Raw genomic sequence first — 26,383 nt, forward strand, 5'->3', positions numbered from 1 at the left:
TTGTGCATCCCCTTAGGAATGTAGCCCACAAGGCGAGGGTAGGCTCCTCAGAGTCAGCACAGTGCTAACAGTGAGCTCTTAGACCTTTGACTACTCAAAACAATTAGCCTTCAAATCCTCAGTGTTTTCCAAGGCTTCATTAAATATTTTTCCTAACGCCTAGCAACTAAGACTAGAAGTTTTAAGGATAAAGTGAGAAGGACTAAAGGGCAGATATCAACTAAGAAGAAGACCATTTGAGAGGCTGAGAGGGCTGAGGTGGGGAAGCAGAGTGAGCAGAGCCCAGAGCTCATTGGCTCCTAGAGAAAAGAAAAGACAGAGGCACAAAGGGAGACTGGCTGGGTGCCAGGACTCAAACCGGCTGCCAAAGCTTATTTAACTTCATCTAGATGTCAAGGCAGCTGCCACTTAATTCCAGTCAGGCTCCTAAATTCCTCCATGCTTTTTACCTCTTCCTTTTTTTGGAGCTTAACGGTACCACCCACCCTACCTCACCCCCACAAAAATAGCCCCCAGCCTGGTTATACAACCCCAAGGGAAGCCACTCACACTGTAGGCTGCACAGGCTATAAATGTTGTGCACATTGTGGTAGAGAATACACATTTGACATCAAGCAGACTCAAACTGGAAAACTGTTTCCAAAAATATATAAACATTACAACCTGGAGCAAGTTGAATGACCCCAAGCTTTAATTTCACCTTCAGTAAAACAAAAAACTGATGCCTCATTAGGCAAGTCTGAGGCCTTCATGAGTTAATTATGGAGAATGACAGATATGTAATAGCCAACCAATAACTTAGTTTTTTCATCCCATCGCTGAGTAGCTAGTTTTGATCTGAGTGTCTACATGCACATTGTCTATCACTATGAAATATAACCTTTTGTTTTCAAGCATACTGACAACTTTCACCAGATATATCACCCAGTTACCTTCACCATAGATTCTTGGTATCAGATCACCACAAAACTGGATTATTTTTCTTCTTCCATGCCTTATCCTATATAGACAGCTTCAATTTTTGCTTTTCTAAAGACCCGGGTTAAGACAATAGTATTTATGAGAATATATACCAATTTTGTAACTGTCCAACTGGTAAAAGCCTGTATATACACTCTTAAAAATCTTTAATTATCTATGTAAAATCTAGGTATAGAGCCTCTCATATGGCAACATGTAAGTCAGTATTTCATGGAAGGGAAAAAAGGGATGTTTCCTCCCCAGCAAAAGTTCCCACTCCTGCAAACTGCTAATAGAGTAGCACTTTCTGGAAGAATCATTTTCAGGGAAAAATAACAATAGCAGGGAGATTTTTCTAATCATTGCATTTAAAAAAAATTATTTCTGATTATATATGTAATTTTTAAATAAGGCCTTCCAATAAAAAGGTCAAGAGTCCACCTCTGATTGTTATCTTGAAAAAATTATCTATAGGAATGAATAGAGCAGAATCTGGACAGCGGGTTTTCTGATTTTGAATTCTGTTTCCTATATTACACTCTACATAACCTTTGGCAGGTTATATAATTCTGTGTGCCTCAGTTTTCTCATATATAAAATGGGAGTGATTAATAATATCTATCTTATAGGTTTATTGTGAGGATTAAATGATTCAGTATTTGCGAGGCATTCAGAGTGGTGACTGGCACATAATTAGTGGTATATAAATATTTTTTCCCATGGAAACATTCCTCTTCAATAAAGAAAACATGTTCTGTAGTGCACATCCTCAAATGCTCAGTACTGCTTTGGAAAGGAAGCAAATAAAAACAAACATATTCTTCCACAGTCCTTTTCCACATCTTATTTAAACGTATGACTCACTAGCATTTTCTTCTTTTACCTATTCTGCTCCTGTGGTGGGAGTGACAGATAAAATGAATTGTCCTTCCTAAAACTGGAGTCAAATCTGAAGTCAGATGGCAAGTCTTTGTTTTATCTTTCCTTTTCATGAAAGAACAATAGTTTCAAATGATAGTTTAAGCATCCCTAGCAAAATGCAGTCATACCAGCAACTTGCCAGATGTCTCTGATTAATTTGCCTGTGTTCCACCAGACATTCAGCATGAGCTCCTATTTTTGCTCTGATGAAGTTTTCTAAACAATATCTACATAAACAGAAAAGAAAAACTTAATCTCAGTAAAAGGTCTGACATCTGAATGCATGGTTGTCTTGGTGCTCAAGGCAGACCAGACATGGGCAGAAATGCTATGTGAGCTCTTCCCTGCCCTCTCTGCCAGTGATATTCAGTTCTCAGCCTTGAGAAGCACTGTAATTATTCAGGAACCCATATGTGACCCTCCATATATGCCACAGTTGCTGCCATCAGGTGGATCAAACCCATTCGCAATGTCCTTTTCTCACAGACCTCAGCTCTAAGGATCCAGAACTTAGTAGGCATCGATGCAATGGGCCACCTCTGCTCAACTCCACATGGATGAAGCTAGGAAGCTCCAGGAAGCACCACCACTCTTACTATCAATCAATGGGGCACACTGTAATAAGGCAGACTGGTGCCCAGGCTGGTCTAATCAAGGCCTTTCACATTTGTGGGTAGTTCTTACAACACTAGAGTAGGACTTAAGACGAAAAGAACTGATCCTGATTTCAAGAGTCTTGGATTCTAATCTTAGCTCTGCCACCAACCACGGTATATTCCATAACTCCCCAGTACCTGTGTCCTTACTTCTCTAGTAAGGGGGGTAGCATCAAACAATCTGTAAGGTTCCTATGGCTCCAAGGTCTTCTGATGTTCAACATATTAAATTTAAGTCAGAGATCAGAGTATTTGACACATTGTAGTACCCTGATTCATCATGAAATTTATAATACTTCAATAAAGCTGAGTGCCTGTTATAGAAACAGGCTACATGCCCACTGCATGCTGCATGGTTTTGATGATCTAAAATGGTCAGTAGGCACAAAGCCAGGTCCCTACAAAGAGCTATGATATACTGCAGGTTGGGTGCAGCTGACGAGTGACTCCACATTGTGCCCACCTCAATCTCACAGGCATAGACTCATTTTCTGTGGCGTTGTCCTAAAACTGAACATAGGTCTCACTTTGTCTACAAAGGGTTCCCAAACTAAGTCATAATTCCCATCTTAGGCAATAGCAGTTACAGTCAAAACCATTAGAACTGCAGTATTCAGTAGAGTAGGCAATAGACATGTGACTATTCAATGTTTAAATTAATTAAAAATAAAAATCCATCAGATTCAAGCTTCTTTGTAAGAAAATAAGTTAAAAATCCAGTTTCTTAGTGGCACTAGCTGCATTTCAAGTGCTCAATAGCCATATTTGGCTATTGGCTACCATATCGTAAAGCATGGATTATAGAATACTTCCATCACTGAAGAAAGTTCTACTGGACAGCACTGAATCTAGAACCTGAAATTAAAATGCAGATCCTTGAAATTAGAAAGAAACAAATTTCCAGAATTCCCTAATGCCAGTAGAGTTTCATTATGAGCTCCTCCATATAAAGTAGGGAGGTACAATTAGACAAATTAAGTTACACCTTCAGACCATAAAAGTATATTTGATGGGTACAGGACAATAAAGCTGGCATGAGCTGGTGGTGCCTAGCAATTGAAGAGGCTCACTCACCACTTATGATATATCTAAGCACAGGTACCTTAGCAAAATCATAGAATACTGTGTCATGAATTATAGGAACTGAATATTCAAATTCAGAATCTATCATGCCATCAAATTTTATTCTCTGGCTTCTATGGGTGCTTCATATCTCCCTAATATTGTTGACTGAAGGAGAGCTAGGAGTCTCCCCTCAGTTTCTTGCTCACTGTTAAGTGTTCATCAGAAATACTCTCTTAGACAAAAAAACTGAAGAGACATTCAGTGGCTTTCTGATCCAGTATGGAAGGGTGAACATTGTCCAAAATGTAGTTGATGTGTATATTAATAGAAACAGATTTAGCCATAAATTCAGCCAGGATACTTTATAAAAGTCCAACAAATAAATTAGGAGAACCAAAAAATAAACAGAAGAGCCATTATGACTGATGATCTTAAAATCTCTGATATCTAGCAGGAACTGCTTGGAAAAGTAGACAAACTAATGTATACTGTACATCATCCTTTCATCAGTGAAGGACATGTCTATCCTTTTAATGCTCTAACTTCTGGAAAATTGTTTCTTACAAATTTTTGACAGGCTGTATAATATAAAAGAGATATAAAAATATCCAAAGTTTACTTTTGGCTTTTATCCAATACTGAAATGATTTGCAAATGGAAAATGAATTGTAATATTGAGCACTTTTGAAAAATTGAAAAATTTTAAATTTCTGAATTTATAAAGTTAACTATTTGTGTTTAGCTAGTTATTTCAGACTTAAGGAGGTATCTGTACTTTTTGCAAGGGAAACTGAGGTACAAACCAGTCAACTAAAAAAGAATGTTTCCATTTTTTATTTAATTATTCAATTTAGAACCACAAGGCTCTGTGAAAGCAGATGAGGATTGTTAGGGCATGGATGATACAGTTTTTGTCTCTTTAGGACTTAATCATTAAGAAATCAATTAGCCCATTTCTTTATCCTGACCACAACACAGACTTGTATCCACTTGGCTTGCCTTTATGGTGAGGAGAATAATCAATAATCCTTATTCAGGAGATACAATATCCTTCCTGTGTCCCATTCACTATAGACAGACAGAAAGAAGTCTGGTTTGGCACAGAAAGTGTATATAACTACTGATTTTTTTTTTGCCTGATTATAGCAGAGCTAATAATTTATCCTTAAATAAAAGCAAGGAAATACGCTTATCTCAGATTTTTCAGCACCAGGAGCATGGTGTTTTGCCTCAAGATGAGCATAAGTCTTTGAACAAAGTAATTGAACATAATCTTGGTTCAAGAGAATACATCTGGTGTCATATATAGGGAGAAGGTCAAAGGAGATGAATTGCTACTAAATTCTCTTACATGTCATTCTGCATAAAAAAGTACATTGCTATTTGTAACATTTTTGTGAGTAAATAATAGATTATACTTACGTGTACATATATAGTAATGTAATGCACATTCTGTAATATTATTATATATGTATATATATACATATACTATGTAGAGTTCATATATCTCTAACAGAAGAGAACACTGGATGATGTTCAGTTTTTTAAAACAAATATAAGTTTGTGCCATCTATAATTTCAGAATTCATACCATTAAAAATGATTATTACTTTTGAAAGGAAATAGATGAGAAATTTTTAGACTAATAAAAATTTTGACTTAATAAAACTGCTGAAATCCAATATTAATCAAATTTCTTTCAGTCACAGGATATTATAATTAATAATCTGGCATCACTAACTTCCTTCACAAATATTTATTGATCATTCACTATGCTTCCAGTACTGTCAACAAATTGATTAATTAAACCTCCCTTTATAATTCTGTTGTTAAAATTGATCATTTGTTTGTCTGGGTCAGATGTTTTATCTTAATTTATAATACTTACATTTGTGAATGTTAAAATTTGTTTTAATTTCACAAATCTTGCATTTTGCAATAGAGATTCAGGCTCGACCAAGGCATTATCGAGGCAAAAGATTTAATTTCAATTAATAAATACTCAGTTAAAAATAGTAAGGGAAGGGAACCCTAACTAATGATGTTTCTAATGAGTCTTCCCTGACCCAGAAAATCAAACTTTCGCCCATAAAGAAATGCATACACACACATGTGTGCGCACACACACACACACCCCTATACATGAATGCAGAGGCAAGTATTTATATGTTCTTTTAAAAACTCAAATTTTTAAAAGTAATTCTAGCTTTTAATTGTTCCCTCTGCCTGAAATCCTCTTCCTGCCTGGTTCATGCTCCTTGAAGTCTGTTAAAGGTCACTTCCTCAGCCAGGCCTTCATGACAAGCCTGCTTCTGTTGTCTCCCTGACCTCCTTTCCCTTCACTCCAGATACCACCTGCTATAGTATTGGCTTTTATCATATTATTGATTCCAATTAATAATTACACATTGCTGACTTGTTTCTGTGTATACTGTTTACCGCCCCTGCTAGAAAGGCTCTGTTTCTATTCACTGAGGCATACTTAGCATCTAACACAGTGGCTGGCAGAGAGTAGAGACCACCATAAACTGGAATGAATGAATGAATTCATCTTTGAGGCTCCAGCATGTTCCTTTTCCATGACACTTGAAGACTACTAAAATGTGACTCTCTTTTTTTTTTTTTTGGCTAACATAGTCACAATTCACTGTGATGTGTGTACATTTTTAAGTTCACTCCTCTAGAAAAAGAAGTGTACACTTTCTAATACTATTTCACACCCCTAGGGTTTTCAAGGTAATAGAAATAATTGTCAGTAAACTGAGCTCCTCATGAGAGATATATATAGTACAATTTCTACTTTAAACTTCTGCCCAATGGGAGATTTTTTTGCAAAACAAAATCATTTCAAAAACCCCTCTACCCCAAAATCTGAAAGGGTCAATATGTTCTTTATCATTAAGGAGGCTTAATAAATGTCACTCTCATATTTCACAATATTAAGCCCATCTGAGTTTAAAGGATGCGGAAATTTCTTACCTGGAGTCTTTTCTGACTCTTGCTTTCTCAAAGGAAAATTCAGGGGGTTTGTTCAGGTCATAGGTCCGGGTTGTTGGCTCAGCAGACACGCCAGCCTTTGCTCCCCTCCTGCTATGGAGAGAGACCAATCCAGAGGTCTTCCGGTGGACCTCAAGAGGCACTTTATCTGGAGAGGCCTGAAGCGGGCTTCCTCCCTGCATATGCACCACATCCTGCAGCTTGTTCAGCTGGATGCACTTGTTCTGGAGCTCCTCTGTGAGTTCAGCAATGGCCACAGTCTGCTTCGACAGCTGCTCCCGCAGCTCCTTCAAATGGTACTCCCGCTCCTGGATCTCAGCATCCTTCCTCCTCAACTCTCTCTCCAGCTCTGTCACCTTGTTCCGCAGAGCATCAGTGGTGAGGTTCCCAGAGTGTCCATCTGGGTGCTTAGAATGTTTAGGTTTCACTGAACCATTTCCCATTTTGCTCAGGGACCTGAGAAGGCACAGAATTGGGAAGTATCAAGTGGAGTTTCACTTCCCAACAGTCCCCACCATTCCTCTCATTCCTATCTTGTTTCATAAATAGGAACACAGTAATCTTCATTGTTTGAAAAGCAATAAACTTCCCGAAGTTTCCAGAAAAAAAAAAAAAGCTATCTATTGATTTCTTTTTTCCCTCCATGAAGAGGAGTTGGCATTTGGGTTCATTCTTACCTGTCCCTTTGAGAGCATAAGTATCACACCTAACATTTTTCACAAATGGTCTGAGTTACCTGCTGTTTTCTCTGGACAGTCTCTCTGAACAGCTGCCAAAAGCATCACATCAAAACTGTGATTTGGATGTCAGCATGGCAAAGATAAAATGCAAATGAGCAGCTACAACAACAGAGGCATGGAAATGTCACAACTTTCATAGCTCCCCATGCGGCAACAGTAAGAAACCTTCCCCAGATTTAGAAAATTACACATCTGCATTTCTCAGAAGACGGAAGCAGAGTTGGTGATGGTTGATTAGCACTTTCCTCCTGCTGTATGTATCTATTAAGTTTTGCATTTCTGATAACACTCACTGCTAAAACACTTCTGAACTGTGGTCACCAACAAGAAGAGTTTTAAAATTGTTCTGCATCCTCTACTTTATGTCCAAAGTGGAGGATCTCCAAAATGTACGACCCATGCTGCAAGGCTCTATTCTTTTCCTATTAAGAATGTCCTCCTAACATTGGTGTAGTGTGGGAAGTTATGAAAATTTCAAAAATTAAAAAAATGAATATCTTCAGTTCAGGCCCCAAAGTAATCATGAATCTAGTGAGTCTCTGGATGTGGTATGCAGATCAGGGGTTATAAGGGATGATTTAGTTTATTCAGAACTTGTTTTAGTCTAATAGCTATGTATTTATTTTAACATGTATTTGAAATATAAATAACTATCACCACAAAGTTGTGATCTCATTGTTATTATTGCTTCAGTGAAGACTAAACTAGGTATTCAGGTTTACTGAGTCAATTCGATGAAAATAAAAATAAATCATCTGCAGATAATAAGCACACACGAGCAGACTCACAAAAGTAGAACTTGAATGTGTGAACTTTGGGAAATACTGCTCTAATTAATTATTATAATGTTTTAAGGCTTTTTAGACTACCTATTTAAACTTCATATTTTTGCACATGCAGTTTTTGACAGCTGATATCATTTGGCTGTGTCCCCACCCAAATCTCATCTTGAACTGTAGCTCCCATAAATCCCCATGTTGTGGGAGGGACCCAATGGGAGCTAACTGAATCATGGGGGCGGATCTTTCCCATGCTGTTCTCGTGATAGTGAATAGGTCTCATGAGATCTGATGGTTTTATAAAGGGGAGTTTGCCTTTGCTTTTCCTTTGCCTTCCGCCATGATTATGAGGCTTCCCCAGCCATGTAGAACTGTGAGTCCATTAAACCCCTTTCCTTTACAAATTACCCAGTCTCAGGTATGTCTTTATTATAATAGCAACATGAGAACAGACTAATACAACAGCCATAACCCAAAAAGCATTATAACACTTGTAAACTAAGCTTGAATTAGTTCTGATTATCTCAAATCAGAAGAAATGAAACAGTTTTATAACCCACACATCTGCCCCTCTCGCCCTCCAAACTTCAAACTTAAATAGAAGTGAAATACTTAGAGTTTTTTCACTAGTTCTACCAGAATAACTGTGACCTCTACAACAACAAAGGCACAGATGCAAAGATGTAACACAGCATCTAGATTTCAAACAGATGTGACCAAATAGTCAATGCAGATTGCCTACAATGGATGGTGCAAAAAACAAATGCATTTATAAAAGCAATCTTGAAACACCTACTTATTTCTCATAGAATTCAGGTTCAAAGTGGTCATTAATAAACATTAGCCTTTGGAGAATTGCCTTAATATGTTGCAGAGATGTGGCAGGTTTAACCTTTAAGTTTCTGTTGACTTGGCAGCATTTACTGATCTTATATATTATGAATGTATAAGAAGGATGAAGAGACTAGAATTCAAAGAAGTAGCCCTGGACATACTTGTACCTTGAATAAGCAATTCAGAATATGTTATATTGAAATCTGAGAATAAACCTGAATGAGATTATGAATTACAAGCATAAGAAAGGTGCTCCAAAAAATCTGAAATTAATGTGTACACACGTTTTTAACACGCATCAGTGACCCATTTTCTAGACAGCCTTCTTGGTTCATGGAGAAGTATTCTTAGGTCAGTAGAGAAAGAAGGGAGATGTGATGGTAGGAGGAAAAGGATTTGCCTTATAAATAAAAAAGCACGCATAAAAACTTTCAAATCTAATATTAAACTAACAACTAACTCATTTTTGTTCATGGAAAAATTGTTTACTAAGACCAAAGTATCATATACCATATCAGAGGCATATCCCATCATGGATTTGCAGTCAAATTTGACACAGAAAACAGTTTTAGCATTACAAATATGAAAAGGCTTAGAATCATTTTTGCTCTATGGATGGTATTCAAAAAATTCTGTACCAATCCAATAATTTTACAAACTTGAAGCACAGTTAGGTAGAGGATGTTAAATTCTCCCAAAACACCAATTATCCTCTGGTTTAGTTGGAAGCTATGTAAATCTTTCAAGCTATTTAGAATTTCAAAGAGGGGTAAAATGAGAGTAACTAACTCATCTTTCAAGTCACTAATTTAAGATACGTAAGTAAGTTACTAAATGGCTCAATACTAGTCTGATTTCTTACTTAGTTCATCCATTTAAATATTGCTGTCCCTGAAGCCAAGGTTTCAAGTCTCTGGCTTCATAAAACCTAATTAGATTCACTCTGTTTCCTGTATCAGTCACTAAGATAAGCTATTTCTCAAATATGTATTGCTAGCCACAAGGAGAAATGAACCATAGGATGTTGCTCCATCAGTCTGGCAACTGCAGGTTATTAAAATCATTCTTACAGTCAGAGGGCAGCACATGATGCAATAAGAAATGAGTCTGGAGATAAAGATCAGAATTTAACATGAGCAATAGAGTCAGGCCAATTAGGGTTATAAAACAATCTGCTCTTTCTCAACCTTCTATATATTCCTAAAAATCTTTGAGTCTTACTTTCTCATCTACAAAAGGGAATATATTTATATCCATCTCGTAGGGTTACTATGATTATTACGTTTGTAAAGTACCCCATATGATGCCTGGCAGGTATCAGACATGAAGTAGGTAAGCAGCTCTTATTATAGTATGTAACTAGAAACAGGCAATTAATGTCTAGGTGTGAAGAAAACCCAGAGAGGATCATTTCTGGGTAGGACAGAAGTCTAGTAAACTGGATGTCTTCCACAAGAGTCTTTTGTGGGTTTTTGTTTGTTTGTTTGTGACAGGGTCTCATTCTGCAGCCATGAGATGCAGTGGCCAGTGGTGCAATCACTATAACCTGAAACTCCTGGGCTCAAGTGACCCTCTTGCCTCAGCCTTCAGAGTAGCTAGGACTACAGAGGCACACCACCATGCTTGACTGATTTTTTTTATTTTCTTGTTGAGATGGGGTCTTGCACTATGTTGCTCAAACTGGTCTCGAAATCCTGGGCTCAAACCACCCTTCTGCCTCAGCCTCTCAAATGACAAAACTCTTTAAAGATGCACATTATTCCTTTGGGAGGTGGTGGCCGGGAGTAAGGGACTCTTACTTTGCCTGGATTCTATCTTCCATTGAGAAAAGAAGTCATTTGGAAACAAACAGCCTGGAAAACAAGTTCCCCACCAAAAGATGGAGACAAAAAAAGAATTATGAATGACACGGAGCCAGTTCATAACTACAAGGACTTAATAATTGAAGCTCTGTAATTCCCTCATGTAGCCCCTATTTATTTTCACACACTGCAATGAAATGCTTAAAACATGGAGGCCCACCTAATTATCTTTGAAGGCAACCAAAAACCATAGTTCACTCTGGAGGCAATACTCTTCTGCAGTTAGGTATAGGAGACAGCAATCGAATGAGTAGTGGCATTTCGCTAGAAGAGAGGAAACTACATAAGACTACAAATTATTATATTAATGTAATCGCCATTTAGAAATTGCTGTCCACCAAGGGTAATTAGAAGAGACATAAGAAAAGCAAAAGTGACTGTGAAGGCGCTTGCAGGCGGATTAACACCTGGCAGTCAATGTGGGAGGAATTAAGCTTTGTTTTCTGTTTTTCCTCCAGCCCTATAGCAGTTTGAAACCAGAATCTTGGCTCTGGTCTAGATAATATCTATTTCTCTCTCTACCCATCTGGAGTCTGTTATAAATATACACAGACAAACACACACACACATATATAGATGTGTGTGTATAGCTACATGTATATCTGTCAATATGGGAGATGGTATGGTGCTGGCTAAGGTTATGGATCCAGAGTCCCAGTGGAAGCACTTTCATTTAGTGGTCTATATTCCCTCAGGCAAGATACTTGAGTGTCAATAATGGAAGAAAAAGATAGAAACATAGAGAGATAGACAAAACAATGCTGCCTGTCATTTACAGTTTTTAGAGGATTAAATGAGATAAATCATGATGAAAATTTAGCACAGGTATTAGCATATAGTATTTGTTTAAGAAATATTAAATATTACTATTATTATTACATTTAACATTATTTATCCAACAAGAGAATTTATCTTAGAGGAAAAACTTATTGAACTGAAAACATGTACTAAACCAACACAATATTGAAGGAGAACTGATACTGTCCAACTTTAAGGCTTACTAATAAAGTAACGGTAATCAATATAGTGTTGTATTGGTGAAAAAATAGACAAGTAGATCAATGGAACAGAACAGAGATCCCAGAGGTAGACCTAAACAGTACAGTCAACTGATCCAAAGATCAAAGAATACAAAAGAGAGCAAAGACAAGTCAATGGAGAAAGGATAGTCTTTTTAACAAATTGTACCGGAACAACTAGGCATTAATTTTTAAAAAAATAGAATCTAGATACCGATCTTATAACTTTCACAAAAATTAGCTTAAAATGGATCACAGACCTAGATGTAAGAAACAAAATTACAAAACCCCCAAAAGACAACATAGGAGAAATTCTAGGTGATCTTGGGTTTTGTGATGACTTTTTAGATAAAAGACCAAAAAGCCTGATTCATAGACAGAAAAAATTGACAATTTTGACTTGATTAAAATTTAAAACTTCTGCTCTGAAAAAAAAAAGAAGAAAATGAAAAAACAAGCCATAGACTGAGAGAACGTACTTCTAAAACATATGTCTAATTCTGAACACTCAATAATAGGAAAACAAACAACCCAACTGAAAAATGGGCAAAAGATCTGAGCAGACACCTCACCAAACAAGGCACTCAGTTGATAAATAAGCATATAAAAAGAAACTCAACATCATAGGTCATTAGGGAATCTCAAATTTAAACAATAATGAGATACCACTACACACCTATTACAATGACTACAATCCAAGACACTGACAACACCAAATGCTGGTGTGAATATGGAGCAACAGGAATGCTCATTCATTGCTAGTGGGAATACAAAATGATATAGTTACATTAGGGGACAATTTGGCAGCTTCTTACAAAGCTAAATATACTCTTACTCTACAAGCCAGCAGTCATGCTTCTTGGTATCTACCCAACTGATATGAGACATATGTTTTCACTAAAATCTGCACATGAATGTTTATGGCAGCTTTGTTTATAATTCCCAAAACCTGAAAGCAACCAAGAAGTCCCTCAGTAGGTAAACGGATAAACAAACTGTGGCACATCCATATAATAGAATATTATTCAATAATAAAAGCAATATCAGCCAACAAGAAGACATGAAGGAACTTTAAATGCATATTGCTGGGTGAAAGAAGCCAATCTGAAAAGCCTATACATTGTATGATTTCAACTGTATAGCATTCTGGAAAAGACAAAACTTGGAGACCATAGAAAGATCAGTGGTTGCCAGGAGCTTGGGGAAAGACAGAAAGGAATAGGTGGGAAAGAACATTTATAGGGCAGTAAAACTATTCAATATGATACTGTAATGATATACACATTTCATTATATATTTGTCAAAACCCATGGAATATACAAAAGGAATGAACCCCAATGTAAACTATGGACTTTAATAATAATGCATCAATATTTGTTCCATCACTTGTAACACATGTACCATACTGATGAAAGATGTTAAGAGCAGGGGAAAGTGCTAAGAGGTGGGTATATAGGAACTCTGTGCTTTTTACTCAATTTTTCTATAAACCTAAAATTTCTACAATATAGAAAGTCTATTAGTTTAAGAAAAGAATTATGTATTAAGAAATGAATGCAAGAAAGCTGATAGCACAGTCAAGGGACAGGCTGAAATGTGTGATGGATGGAAGGAGAGTAATGAATAATGAAACTGAAAAAGTAAGATACTGAAAAATTTCCTACGCCACATTATGGTATCTGAATCTTAAGATACACTAAGTTCTCTAGTTATGTGGTCAGATTTGTCCTTTAGGAAAATAATATTCTCATAAATAAGGAATGGAGTAAAAAGAGCTTAGAGGAAGTAAGACAAGGGAAGATACTATTGCACCAATCCAAATAGGAGGTGATAGTTTAAGGATTAAAGCTCAGAGTCCCAACACTATTTAATGACTTGAACTTCTTGAACTCAAGAAAAAAATTGACCATCTCCGTGGTAGCCAGAGAGAAAAACATTGCCATATGAGATTCAATAAAAGTTACAGCTATATGTAACACTGCAATGTCCTTCCCTTCAATAAATCATGGAAACCAGAATTGATTTTTTAATGATAATGGGCAGTTCAGCTGGAAATCAGAGGAGTGAATTATACAGACTTCTACAGATAATATTCTAGGTGGATAGGAAACTGATACATTTGATGTTACCATTAGCTTGTCTCTCTAAAGTTCCTTTAGAAAATAATTGAATATATAAATCCCTGATTCTTCTCCCTGAAGCAAACCACACAGAGTTGTTGTCCTTGTGAGAAACAGCTCACTTTCACATTAATGCCACAATTAAAAGCATCTGTCCATCCAACCTTGTGACTGTTGACCCGGGGCTCAGTTTGGAATCTACTGCTTGTTTTCTCTGTCCACAGCATCCTGGCTGGAGAAAAACTTTCTCTTGACAGGAAATCATATGACCTTGTTGTACCAAAGTTGCAGCTACTCTGGAGGTTGGTTATCTCTTTAAAGTGCCTCCCTCCCACCCCCCCAGCAGAATGTTCGCGGTGAATTTTATGAATGCCACTATCCTATATTTGACTGCCAAATTCAGCTATTTGGGGGGCTACATTAACAGATAAACAAGCAAACACACAGAAATGTAGGTCTGTAAGTCTAGGTCAGAAGATTATAGCTGACAGAATTTTTGAGTGGTGGCAAGAAGAAAGACGATGAGGATTTGAAAGTTTATACTGTGGCAACTGGGTAAAAGGTAATGTCATTGACCAAAATGAGGAGCAGATTTGAGGGATAGGACAGTGAGTTTAATTTTGGATATACTCAGTTTGAAGCACCAGTGGAAACTTTAAGTAGAGAAGTTTAGTGAGCAGTAAGAAATGAGGGACAAGAAAAGCTAAAGAAAGAGGAAAGCTGAAAATATTAAGCAGTTATTGATACATAAATAGAGGCTGAAGTTGATGAATTGGAGGCAAGTGCCCAGGATATTAGCGATGAGGAGAGGAGAGTGTCTAGGTCTATATGAGGTTGGAAAGAAAACTGTAAGATATGGTAAGAAGGTACTGCTTTGGTTAAAGTGAGAGAGGATGTGAAGAGATTAATATTAGAAGAGGGTGAGTAGGAGGAACACTGCAGGATAGCATCTCTAATGTAGTAATTAAATGGATGTGCATGGGAGGGCAATCAAAATGATTTCAATGTTTTGATCTTAGGAGGCTTGAAGGAAAGTATTACTATCTACTCTTCATTCATTCAGTCATTCAAAAAGAACACATAGGGCACCGTGTATGGGCTAGACACTGTGGCACTGACAGAAGTCAGGAGAATGAGCATGCTTTGAAAAGACAGTAATGAGTCTGGATTTACATATATTGAGTTTGAGATGCTTGTGGGTCATCATGATGCAAATGTCTAGCAGGTAGAAGCAAAAAAGAAAACTCAAGGGAAGAGATTGCTCCATAGAAGACTTGAAGTACCATTTGTAGATGAGATCACTAAGGGAGGTAAGAAAGGAATGTCTCTATTGTTACCTATGAACATATAGGTAATATCTGTGGATATTATTTGTGGGAGAAGAGGAGGAGAAGCAAACCACAAAGGAGAAGGAACACGTGTACCAATAAGAGATTTAGGAGAAGCATCAGAAAGGCCATGCAGATAAGATCCTTAAGAGGTGAGCAGGCTGTACCTCACATCCCACAGGCCTGTCACAGCAAATGAGATCAGAGAGAAAAGTGCTGAATCTGATTTGTCAAAGAGTGGGGATAGACACTCAACTACAAGGGACCATGGAAAGAGCTGACACTAAGAGTAGAGCCTGCAAGACGATATCATGATTCATGTGAGGGATTTTTAAAATAATGAAAATTTGAAAATGTCTGTAGCTCCAGGATAATGAAGCACAGGAGATATGAAAAACGAAAACATGGGAGAAGAAGAGATAATTCATAGGAAAAATAGCCTAGAGGAAGCAAGACAATAAGGGATCACAGGACTTGGGCAACAGCCAGGCAACATATGCCTTCACTGTGAGGTGAATTCTCATTAGCCTCACTTGTAATGACTTCATAGAACTGGAGTTAAGGATTTCACGTAAAAGAGAAAGATCCCTGGGCATCATCTTTTCAGGTCGTTTATTCTTAGTCATACAGCGTTCCAACGGAGAGGATGCACTCTAATTCTCCATAGAGAATTCTCTACCATATTAGCTCATACCCTCCTGTGCAAAACTAAACAGGAGTACTGAAAACAGCTAGTGTATGTTATGTGGGATGATCGCCTTCTTCATGAGTTAAATAGAAACTTGCAAAGAAAAGAGACAATTTCTAAGAAACTCTAAATATGGGGGTGTGGTGGGGTGGGGGCAGGTGTATGTTGCTCTCTTCCTTAAAAAAAAAAAAAAAAAGAAGGAGAAGAAGAAGAAGGAAAAAGCCCCTGGGAACTTGGGGAACAAGATGAAGATCAGGAAATCAAGGCATTTGTCCCAGCGTCACCCTTCCTACCTACTAATTCTGCATGCGTTGCTTTTATTGTCAGCTCTGGCCTCAGCTGCTTCGTAGTTGCACCGTAGTTCTTCTCAGAACTGAACCTATTTCTTTTTTTCTCATCCCCAAAGTGGCTGGTTTCTGGGCTTTGTTTGCTCTTGTTTCTTCATCACCGAGAAATACAGAAATATGAAAGCGCCTCACGGTGCCCAGAGTGACAAAAGGACACCCACACAAGTTTACCAGGACTCCTAAAAGTCCTTGCCTGAGGACTGTCCCCTAGCAACTACCCAGAGCTCGACGAAGCAAAGCCGGGAGCGCAAGCCCTGACAGCACCGCCAAGCCCCTAGCTCGGAGCAACAGCCTCCACCGCTTCTCCTCGCTAAACCTAGAGAACCCTGAGGACTCCCCACTGGGGCTGAGCCCCTCCCGCCCTCAACAGAACCTCTAAACACAAGTAGCCTTTCCCTGCCTCCAGGAGCTCACGAAACGCTGCCACACCGAGCGAATGCAACGCGTACACACGTCCACACTCGAACAGCACAAGCAAGAGACCGGCTGGGTGTGGAATAGAGGCGCACATCGCGCAACGCATTCACAGCATGCACACGCGCGCACCCCGACCCCGTCCCTCCCCGCGCGCCCTCACACCCCGGCGCCCAAGACCCCCGGCCCACGAACCTCACCAGACAGCCGGGTAACTTTCCAGGTGCGCAGCTTGTCACCTCGGCGCGGCCGCCCCTGCGTCTCAGCGTCCTCTCCCACGCCGCCCTCCCCAGCCGCCTGCGGCGCCGGAGCCCAGCGCAGGTCAGCTCAGCCAGCCCCGCCGTGCACACGGTGCGCAGCGTGGGCCCGGGGCTGCCGGCTCAGTCGCTCCGGCTACGTGTGAGCCGGGGGCGCGGGTTAGCGCGATGCGGGCAGGAGCTGCGGCGGCGTCGGTGCTGCCGCCTGGCTCCGCGGCGGGGGCCGGTGCAGAGGAGACACGCAGGGAGGGAGGGAAGAGAGGAGGGAAGGAGGAGGGAGGGGGTCAGCCGGGGCTACTGCCTGGATAGTTGGGCGCCGGCTTCCCTAAAGGTGGGGTCACCCGCGCCCGCACGCACACTAGCCCGAACCTTTACTCCCGACACAGCCGCAGTCTGCACTTTATACCCCATACCCTCCATAGTGAGGCAACTTAAGTAGGGCGATAACATCGTGGTTGTAAGCATTTTTGTTCATGTTATTATTTCTATTTCAAGTGTGTGGGACGAGGGGAGAGGAAAGTTCAGGGAGGTGTTCATTTTTTCCTTCCCCTCCCTTTCCTCCATCCTTCCAGTCTGTTTTCACTGCAGGCTCTCTCCACTTCGCCTTCCCTCCCAGAGCTCAAACAGGCGCACGTACCCTGGACATGCCCTCCTCTGTCACACCAATGCCTTTCTACGAAGACATGTGACCCCGAAGCAGCTCGTCGACGCGCCCCTCCCGGACTCTGGGGCCATAACTTACATCTAGTTTGCCAGTTCACGTGATGCTGGGGGCAGGGGTTGAATCGAGTTTCGAGGGACAGAGATTATACCTTCCGAATCTGCAGGTCTTTGGGAAGGGAGCTTTCTTGATCACCCAAGAAGATAATGCTCTCTCGTCACCTTTTGAGTACATTTTTTTTTCCTGAAGGGTGCAATATGGTTTCCTAAATATATATGTACACCCCACCGCATTATTTGCTGTGCTCTGGAGTTGTGAGATCTCCATGTGGCTTTTTCCCTTTCCTTCTGCCCCCAGAGGAATTTCACCAGCAAATTCACGGAGGACAAGGGCAGTTTCTGTGTTGAGAGATGGAAAGTATAGTGAGGGTCTATTCCTCACTGTGCATCTAGAGAATGTTACAACCAACTCTCTTGGGTTTTTAAACCACATGGTGGCAGTGGGGCTCATGTAACATTTGTATACACTGTTACATACATAAACTTATATTAAAAATGAGGCCCATGTAAAATATGTTGAATGAGACCATTAAGTTTCAGAGGAGGAGGAATATAGTCCTGTTTGTTTTTGTGCTAACTGGAGGAAAATCGCGAAAGTACACAAAGTACCTTTTCATGAAGCTATCCCAGAGTCTGTACATTTTATAAAGACCTCAAAAAAAAAAAAATTAGAGGAGAAAGGAGTGAGGAAGAATTCCACAAGAAAAGAGAAAATAAGTAATTGTATGTCACTGTAATAATGGACTTTTAAGTTGATGGGCTGAATTTTTATTAGCGATTTAATGACAAAAAGGAGAAAAACAGATTTTCAAAGTCTTCACTTTAAAAAAAAATTTCAGATTCAGGGGTACAAGTGCAGTCGCATTACACGGACATAACACATAGTGGTGAGGTCTGGGCTTTTAGCGCACCTATTACCCTAATAATGTGCACTGTACCTAATAAGTTGTAATTCCTACCTCACCCACCTCCCACCCTCCCACCTATTGGAGTCCCCAGTGTCTGTTATTCCATTCTGGATACTCATGCCTGCCCATTGTTTAGCTGCCACTTATAAGAGATTCTGCAGTTTTTGACTTTGTTTCTGAGTAATTTCACTTAGGATAATGGCCTCTAGTTCCATCCATGTTGCTGCAAAAGATATGATTTCATTGTTTTTGTGGCTGGGTAGTATTCCATTGTGTGTGTGTGTGTGTGTGTGTGTGTGTGTGTGTGTGTGTAGTACCCCTGAATCAAAAAAAAATTTTCCCAGTTTTTCAGGTGATAGGTACACAGTGTATGTGTGTGTATACCACCATAGTGTGTGTGTATATATTTTGTATATATATATATATATATATATGTGTATATATATAATATAAAACCACATTTATAAATCCAATCACCCCTTAATGGACACGTAGGTTGACTCCATGATTTTGCTATTGTGAATAATGCTGCAAAGTCCTTACATTTCATTGAGTCCTGGGCTTTTTTAAACAATGGGTTGCTAATTAATGGATTATAAAATTGATGTACTGGGTCAAAGCCAGCATTTTTAAAATGATACCAAATAGAATAAAAAATAGCAGAGTATGCACGCACACTGGGTCAACTGGGTCATATGTACTTTCTTACCGTTCATTGAGGTAAAAGCTTGAAAGCTGTCGATGCAGTGCAGGCTGTTGCCCAGGGTCACCCAGCTAGGAAGAGTTTGAGGGGGAACCTAAGTTCCCTCCCAGCAATCCTATGCTCTGTCAAATCTACAACTCTACCATGCTGAACAAGGAAACGGAGGAAGAGAAGGAAAGTGACCACTTTTTGAGCTTTTAATTCAGTCTTTCAACAAATGTGCTTTCAGCAGCTCCTGCATCTCAGGCCCAGTGCTAAATACTTAGAATTCAATGGTGAACAAAATTAACTTGTGATCTCTGCCAACTTAGAGTGTACAATCCAGTGAGAGAAACAGACATTAAATAAGTAAACACAAAAGTAAGCATATGTGGGAGAAATACTGTGAAGGAAAATGAGAGAAAAAAATATGGGGTTATAATTTAGATGTGGGAGGCTGCAATTAATAATTAACCCAATTTAGAATGGCTTAAATTATAAGGAAACTTACTGTTTCACAAGGCAAGAAGTTCCAAGGTCAGGAGGCTCTAGTTGGTGAATTCAGGAACACAGTTGTGTCTGGGAAGGCCCTGGCCTGTTCCCGTTATTCCCCCTGCCATTCCCAGTATGGCAGCTTTGTCCCCTGGGGCTGCTCCACCCATGGCCCCAGGATGACTGGAACAACTCCATTTATTATGGGCAATCCCAACAGTGCCCAAAGGTCACAGAGATTCTCTTTTCCAGAGTCGGGAAATCGTTCTTGGAAGCTTCCAGGAGACTTCTCACCTGTCATTAATCCAAACTAAGCATGTGCTCACACCTAAATGCTGGAGGTGGAGGGGAGAATCACCATTCCCAGCCTCTTAGGCTCTGCAGGACTGGTTCCTAACTCTTCCCGATTGCATTCTTTGAGAAGTGCATACCCGAATAAAAAGGAGAGGGTGGCAATGGATGCTGGGTAGGCAATCTAGAGTCTGCTACAGGGGCTCAAGAATAATGTCTCTCTGGAAAAAAAAAAAGTGGAGGGCATTTAAACTTAAGATGAGTAAGAGTGAGACAGGGAGTGAGGAGGAAGCACCTTCAGGCTGAAGGAATCTGGCCTGTGATGTTGGACTCTGTGTCATGAGTTAAAGGCTTCCATGTAATTTCTCATTTACTCCTTTGACCTGAGGAGGTAAGCACACCTGAGGAAGGAAACTCAGAGAGTTAAGTAACTTTGATCAAATTCACAGAGCTAATAAGTTGCAGAGCCAGTCTATATAATTCCAGACCCTAAAATCTTGACTTCTTCTACCTGTACAAAGACAACGAGAAATTAAAATCCACTGGCCTTTCTTTGCCATTGACTGAAGAACACAGGCCCCTCAGAGGCCCGTCTGCAATGTTAATCTAAGCACATGGGCGATGTGGGACATACTCATGACTAATCCTCCTCCTACTAGGTAAGCCTCTGCTCCACTAGGTCTCCTGGTCTCTGCTAAGCACTGTCACCAGAGCACCAGAGTTCTCACATTGTCAAAGTTCAGAGGTAGCCTATGGAAATGGGGATGATAAAAGGCCTGTCTTCCCTTGTTTTATACACAGAAAAGTCCCCAAGCAGCCCAAGTGTTTCACAGAAACCTCCCGGTTTTGCCCACTTTCTGTTTCTTGCAGGGACCTGCATCCAAGAGGCTGAGCTAGGAAGAGATCCAGTAATGTTTCCATACTTAATTCAGACTCCCAAGCCCCTGGATGACTCAATTTGAGTTCAGGATCATCCCATGCCAATCTTATTTTCTTGGGATAAATTTCCACACAGGAGGCTCTATAGTTACCTTTGCACACAGACTCCTGTCAGGGCACCCCATCAGATCAGCCTTGTGCTCATAATCTTTAATTCCAGCTTGGAGCCCTCCAAGGCCCAACTGAGGTCCCTTCTATGGATCAGCAGAAAATCTCCTGGGGACATAAGAGGGACAAAACTCCCATGCTGGTGATTCACACTCCATTTTCTCACCATGTCTTTGGTTTTCTTTCCTTCCCTCTTTTATTCTTTCATTTATCTTCAGGCTTCCTTATCCTACCACACTAACTCCATGAGCAGCCATTTCAGTTGCTAAGGCTAGAACCTCAAGTCATAGTGCCCTCCTTTCTGATTGGTTTTGCCAAACCCTAGCCAAGAGAAAATCCCATTTGCCTTTGATGCTTTTGTTGTCCAGGTTCCAGCATCACTCAATATGGTTATAAAACTGGGCCAATTGGATCCACCCAAATTTTCATGTTATCTAAGCTCCGTGCAGCCCACAATCCCTTTATTTACCTCAATACCTCTTCCATGAAGTCTTGCTGACCATGAAGGATAGTGCTTCTCTCCCATGACCCCACAGCAACATGGTGCTCCAAGTTACAAATCCTTGTTAACTTGCCAATCTCCCTTATTAGACTTCAGAGCAGGGACTTTGTTGTATCAATGCTTATATCTCCAGAACATACCCAGCTCAAGTCTCTTCATTATTTAAAAAATAATTTAAAATTTTCACTCTTTAATCTACTATCTTCTTTAAAAAAAAAAAAACTGTCTATTAAGATACTAGAGACTTGAAAGTGAACCCCATATGTGGTGCCTCTACTTCCTCTGTGGAAGCTCATCAATAATGTCATACAATCTTCCAGGCCTAGCATTGGAAGCATCAGTCTTCTTTCTACTCCTCTTTCCAAAGGGACAGTAGCCTGTCATTTACCAATGCCTTCCCAGTGATCCCGGTTGGGGATGAGAGTGTTATGGGCATTAACTCCTGGTACATCTGGGCTATTTCCAAGCTCCTCCAAGCAGCAGCCGAGCCTTCGTGTGATCCCAATCTAGAATTGAACAGTCTCTTGCCCATGCTTTCTCTGAATGTCCCCCATCATCTGTTTCCACTCCCACCCAGTCCAAATTTTCCCAGGATTCTGGCTTTAGCCCTTTCTTCTCTCTCTCTTTCTCTCTCTCTTTTTCTCTCTCTCTCTCTTTCTCTCTCTCTCCCTTTCTCTCTCTCTCTGTCTCTCATCTCATAGCTTCACTGATTATTTCTAGGTGTCCACCCCTTTTCCAGAACTTGCCAGCACTGTACTTTGTCTCAGCCCTTCTTGTGGTATTTATCACTTTCTACTTTGTATTATTGGTGCCTAACTACATTTATCTCTCCTACAGAGCTGTAAACTCTTGGAGGGCATGGTTCACATTTGATTATCTTTGCTGTATCTCTCCCAGTACCACACACAGCAGGTCCAATCCTAGAGTTGATAGGAAGCCATGATTTGTTATCCAGAAGAATTTTGCTTATGTTTCTGAAGTTCCGTAGAAAGAATTTGGAACATGTTCTTGATTTTCCTTCTGGAATAGACAATTGTTTAAAATAATGATATAAATTAGAAATTAATAGTCTGTCCAATTGACAATCAAGTAATAGTAAAATTTACTTTAAAAGTACAAAATATAAATAAATTTGGTCTTCTGGTTTTATCTATACATAATAAGTTTCAGCCCAGGGTACACTGACTTTCCTAAATAGTGATTTTTTTTTCTAGGTATAGGTAGTCATCAAATAATATAGCCAGTGTACACTAACTATGCACTAGGTTCACAGTATTTAGCATCCCACCATCCTGTGCTATTTCAGAGTCAACCTGGACTACCCATCCAACACTTAACGTCTCAACTCGTTAGTCTTCCCATATCTAATAGCTCCATCTCAGCTTCAGCCATCACTCCCATAGTCACACCTGGAAATCCCTCTAAAATCACCAATTCTGTGAGTGCATATGCACCCCAGATCTGCACAGTCCTGCCTGCCTCCAGGGCTTCAGCCCTTTGCCTTGCTTCTCAGCCAGAGTGGCCCAAGCAATGGCTGGTGTTGTCCCCATGGTCCTAAAGCCCAGTTTAATGCTGTCACTGACCTCGGCCTCCCTTGGATCCAGGGCCAGACCAGCATGACCTTCATAACACCCACTGTAGAGGGAGCATCAGCAGCTCCAGGCCCCTGGGCTGACCTGACTGAACCCACAGAAACTCTGGCTTCCCTCACTGCTGCCTGGAGGGGCCCAAAACACAACCCAGAAATATAGTGGAATTAATGACCTGTGGAGCCGACTTTGACCACTGAGAGACAGGAGCCAGGATGAAGACAACAAATAAATTGTTCACCCTTCCTGCCCACCCAGGAGCTGTTCAAAGATGCAATGGTTCTGTATTTCTGGCTACTCTGGCATGACTCAGCAACCAGCTTTGTTTTCTAGAGAAGCTGTAGACAAATTGGTAATGCACAACTTTGAATCTGCTTTTTCTCCTTCTCTCTTTTATTTCTGTGTTTCTGCTCATTCTTGCTTCCCTAGGATAATATTCTAAATAGAGTGTCACATGTGAGCTTTACCTTAGGTTCTGTTTTCTAGAGAAACCAAACTAAAATAAGGCATTATACTCTGTGACAACAACTTTCCATCCTTCAAGCTTAATTGTTCAATTACATTCTCTTCATGTGTTTCTGGCCCTATAGTGACCTCTAGTTCCTTGATCCTCTATTTACTTCCTCACTGTCTTTACTATGCTCCTTACACAGTTGGGTATGGAATGCATTATCTCATGCTACTGGTACCTTGCCCCAGCCTTACGTCTTACAATAGCCAGGAGAAGCCCCCATTAGGAAGGAATTCCACTTCTTCCTCTTGTACTTAAACAATAAAAACTAGTGAAACAAGGTAGATATAGGTCCTGTTCTCATAAACTTAAATTCTGGGTCAATAGTAGGAGATTCGACTGGTAAAGCCATTCTAGAGAACCATCTGGAATGATTTACTCAAATTAAGAATACATACAGCCCATTAGCAATTCCACTTCTGAGTATACCATATATCCTAGAGGAATTCCCATATGAGTCCATAAGGGAGCATGTACTAGGATGTTTATTGCAACTTCCTTTTTATTGTTATGATTAGAGGCTAGAGGGCACCTGGGTATGCATCTCTGGGAGGGTAAATAGGTAAGTTCCTATGGCTATATGCCATAGGATGTTTATTGCAACTTCCTTTTTATTGTTATGATTAGAGGCTAGAGGGCACCTGGGTATGCATCTCTGGGAGGGTAAATAGGTAAGTTCCTATGGCTATATGCCATAGGATGTTAAACAATACTTAGAAACAAGTTAGATGTTCCCAAAGCAAAGTGATATACCTTAAAAATAAGAGTATCTAGTAGAAAATAGAAGTACAATGAGATATATATAGATATAAAACACAATATTCTTTGCATAAATTAAAGATAATATGCACAAAATACATTATTCATTTTGCATAAACACATAAAATAAAAAGATACAAAAAACACATTAGAACGTTAGGGAGTAGAGTATTTTAATAAAAGAAATAACAGAAGAGAAAAGGAAAAACTAGAAAAGGGAATGGAAAACTACTTCTGAGAAGTGGTCTTCAGAAGACCTCTCTTAAGAGGGAGCATTTGAGTGAAGACCAAATGATGAAACAAAGCCTACCACAAGATGATCTAGGAAGGAATATGCCAGACAGAAGGAAAAGCATGTGCAATGGCCAACAGGCCTATATTAGTTGGTTCTCACACTGCTATAAATAACTTCCTTGAGACTGGGTAATTTATAAATAAGAGTTTTAATTGACTCGCAGTTCCATATGGCTAGGGAGGCCTCAGGAAACTTATAATCATTTCAGAAGGTGAAGGGGAAGCAAACTTGGACCTTTTCACATGGTGGCAGGAGACAGATTGGGAGGAGCAAAGAGGGAAAAGCCCCTTATAAAATCATAGGATCTCATGAGAACTCACTCACTGTCATGAGAATAGAATGGAGGAAACGCCCTCATGATCCAATCACCTCCAACCAGGTCTCTCCCTAGACATGTGGGGATTACCAGGATTATAATTCACGATGAGATTTGGGTGGGGACACAGCCAAACTATATCGAGGCCAAAAGAACTTGGTGAGTTTCAGGGCTGGAACCTAAGAACATGGAGGAGTGTGATACCATGTAGTTCAGAGAGGGTACAGTGAGGCCAGATTACATGAGGCCCTGTAGGCAATGGTAAGCAGTTTGGGTTTTACACCACTCTGAATTCTTCATATCAATCTCCTCTGGGCACTGAATGCTCCCTGGTAATCTTGCTGAATTTACCTGGTCAGCTATATTTCTCTCTACCACAATGAATGTGGTAAACCTTTTCCTCTTTCTTCAAACCTTCATCTAACCATTCTTACTCATGGTCATTGGTCTCACTGACTCTTCACAGCAAATAATTGTTATGGATTGAATTGTGTCCCTCCTGAAATTCATATGTCAAAATCACAACTCCCTGAACCTCAGAATGTGACCTATTTGGATACAGGATTATTACAGATTTAATTAATTAAGATGAGGACATTAGGAAGGACATTAATCTGACATGATTGGTGTCTTTATTAAAAAGGAGAAATTTGGACACGGAGACAGACAGTCATATGGGAAGGATAATGTGAAGACAACCACCTACAAGTTGAGGAGAAAGGTTTGGAACAAATTCTTTCCTCACAGTCCTTAGAAGGAACCAATGCTGTCAACACTTTGATTGTGGACATCTAGCCTCTAGAACTGTGAGACAATAAAATTTGTCATTAAAACACTTGGTCTATGAAACTTTGTTACAGCAGCCCTAGCAAACTCATACAATTACAATAATTTGTGTTGAGCCCTTACAATGAATGTGAGCACTGCACTTGACATGCATTAATGCAGTTAATCCTCAGGAAGACCCTATGAGATACTATTATTATAGCCATTTATTAAATAAGGAAACTGAGGCACAGAGAGATTAAGTACAACTCATCAATAAGAACTTCCTCAGTGTCCCTACATAAAATCTAGAAGCCTGTCTGCACAAGATATACCCTTTTCTCCCTCATTTCCCCTTAGGATGAGGCGTCCATTATTCTGTCTAACTTCAGTGCTTCTACCTGTGCTCTTGATCACCTGTCTGTCCTTAAAGAACTTTGGTTCCTTAAGTTTCTCCCACATTAAGCAGGAGCTTCTTCCATTATATCTTGTAATAACTGCTCCTTCGCAAATTTCCCA

At 39.9% G+C, this 26,383-nt stretch overlaps 1 protein-coding gene and 1 long non-coding RNA gene across 8 annotated transcripts in view, besides 2 other annotated features; one reads left to right on the plus strand and one right to left on the minus strand.

The window, feature by feature from the left end:
• Window positions 1–19,831, minus strand: part of PRKG2 (protein kinase cGMP-dependent 2) — a 130,467-nt gene extending 110,636 nt beyond the window's left edge. For 2 of the 7 annotated variants that reach the window (NM_001282485.2, NM_006259.3), the window contains exons 1-2: window positions 16,931–17,217; window positions 6,582–7,055 (exon numbers count right to left, since the gene is read on the minus strand). In NM_001282485.2, coding sequence (NP_001269414.1) covers window positions 6,582–7,042 — 461 coding nt within the window. In that variant the 5' untranslated portion in view covers window positions 7,043–7,055; window positions 16,931–17,217. Of the gene's footprint in view, window positions 1–6,581; window positions 7,056–16,262; window positions 17,218–17,624; window positions 17,647–19,808 lie in introns of those variants that run through there. The other 5 variants (XM_017008415.2, XM_017008416.2, XM_047415963.1 and 2 more) reach the window with 5 other exon arrangements.
• Window positions 16,249–16,749: an enhancer, noted in NCBI's record as "H3K4me1 hESC enhancer chr4:82135408-82135908 (GRCh37/hg19 assembly coordinates)". NCBI's record gives its function as "activates a minimal SCP1, AML or CMV promoter by ChIP-STARR-seq in naive H9 embryonic stem cells {active_cell/tissue: H9 hESC(naive)}" and the evidence as "EXISTENCE:reporter gene assay evidence [ECO:0000049][PMID:30033119]".
• Window positions 16,750–17,250: an enhancer, noted in NCBI's record as "H3K4me1 hESC enhancer chr4:82135909-82136409 (GRCh37/hg19 assembly coordinates)". NCBI's record gives its function as "activates a minimal SCP1, AML or CMV promoter by ChIP-STARR-seq in naive H9 embryonic stem cells {active_cell/tissue: H9 hESC(naive)}" and the evidence as "EXISTENCE:reporter gene assay evidence [ECO:0000049][PMID:30033119]".
• LOC124900726 (uncharacterized) lies at window positions 16,881–18,219 on the plus strand. Its single transcript, XR_007058162.1, has 2 exons — window positions 16,881–16,953; window positions 17,560–18,219. It is a non-coding gene; the product is annotated as an uncharacterized LOC124900726 (long non-coding RNA).
• Window positions 19,832–26,383: the final 6,552 nt, after the last annotated feature.

This window comes from Homo sapiens, chromosome 4 (genome assembly GCF_000001405.40).
Source record: "Homo sapiens chromosome 4, GRCh38.p14 Primary Assembly".
Lineage (NCBI taxonomy): Eukaryota > Metazoa > Chordata > Mammalia > Primates > Hominidae > Homo > Homo sapiens.